We start from the raw sequence: 1,020 nt of genomic DNA, 5'->3' as shown, positions 1-1,020 counted from the left end.
GGGTCGATATGGCCAGGGTAGACTAGGTTTGAGAAACAAATAGGTCATTAGCAGAACTGAGAGTGTAGGCTGAAGGAAAGCAAGTAACCTCACTCCAGTGAAGTTCCATCATCTTTTTATCTTTTGTCTAAATGACTGTTAAGTCTAATTAACTAGCCCAGACCTTCCTTCTCAGTACCAGAACAATCTATCGCACCATTTAATTTCCATTTATTAGAATGCCATCCATTTATGATGATATGTCCTTGAGACATGATAAAAGATCAGCTGTCTCCCTGTGCATGAAGAAATTTCTAAGAAATATTGTTATTATGTCACCTTGGGGAAAAGAGAACTTAGGGTCACATAAAACATTTTGGTTTTAATACGCTGCTTTGAGAGAATGTGTACTCTTTGAGAAAATTGAATATAATTGTGTACTAATCCACATAAAAAATTAAGTATCTAATGTTAGTCAAAGTGAGTCTCCATAAGCAAGGCAAATAAATCTCACTGATAAAAAATTCTACTACTTAGAGTAGGTCTTAAAAGAAAAGAAATACATGAAAAGTAAACCTTTTTTTCTGTGTTGTGGTATGTGGAAGTAAAAAAAATCCACTGCTTGAAAGGTCTACATGGGAAACAGTGTCCTCAAGGAAAAAGTTCATTTCAATTAATGTTATACAATGAAAGAAAGATTCACAGAAGTGTTTAAGAACAGATGGTCCCAAATCAGGTAATGGGGATAGGGTTGTGAATATTGCAACAGAGAGGGTTGGACGGTCTCCAAGGAGCACATACAAATTTCTAGGAGTCCCACCTGACTCCTACTAGATAATTATTACTCCAAGTGAGTCTTTGAATACTCTTTTCCTGCTGGTAGTTGGGTGGTCTTACTCCAGGTGCAGGGATTTCCTTTGATTTAAGGAAATGTATGGGTGAATAACCTAGTATTTCAAAATATCACTTAGGAAATTTCATGAAGCTGACTTTCAATGATAGCTTGTTGTTCACTAATACAACCACAACTATGTTAAATAA

Source organism: Homo sapiens, chromosome 8 (assembly GCF_000001405.40).
Source record: "Homo sapiens chromosome 8, GRCh38.p14 Primary Assembly".
In the NCBI taxonomy this organism is placed as follows: domain Eukaryota; kingdom Metazoa; phylum Chordata; class Mammalia; order Primates; family Hominidae; genus Homo; species Homo sapiens.
This window is presented reverse-complemented; position numbering follows the sequence as displayed.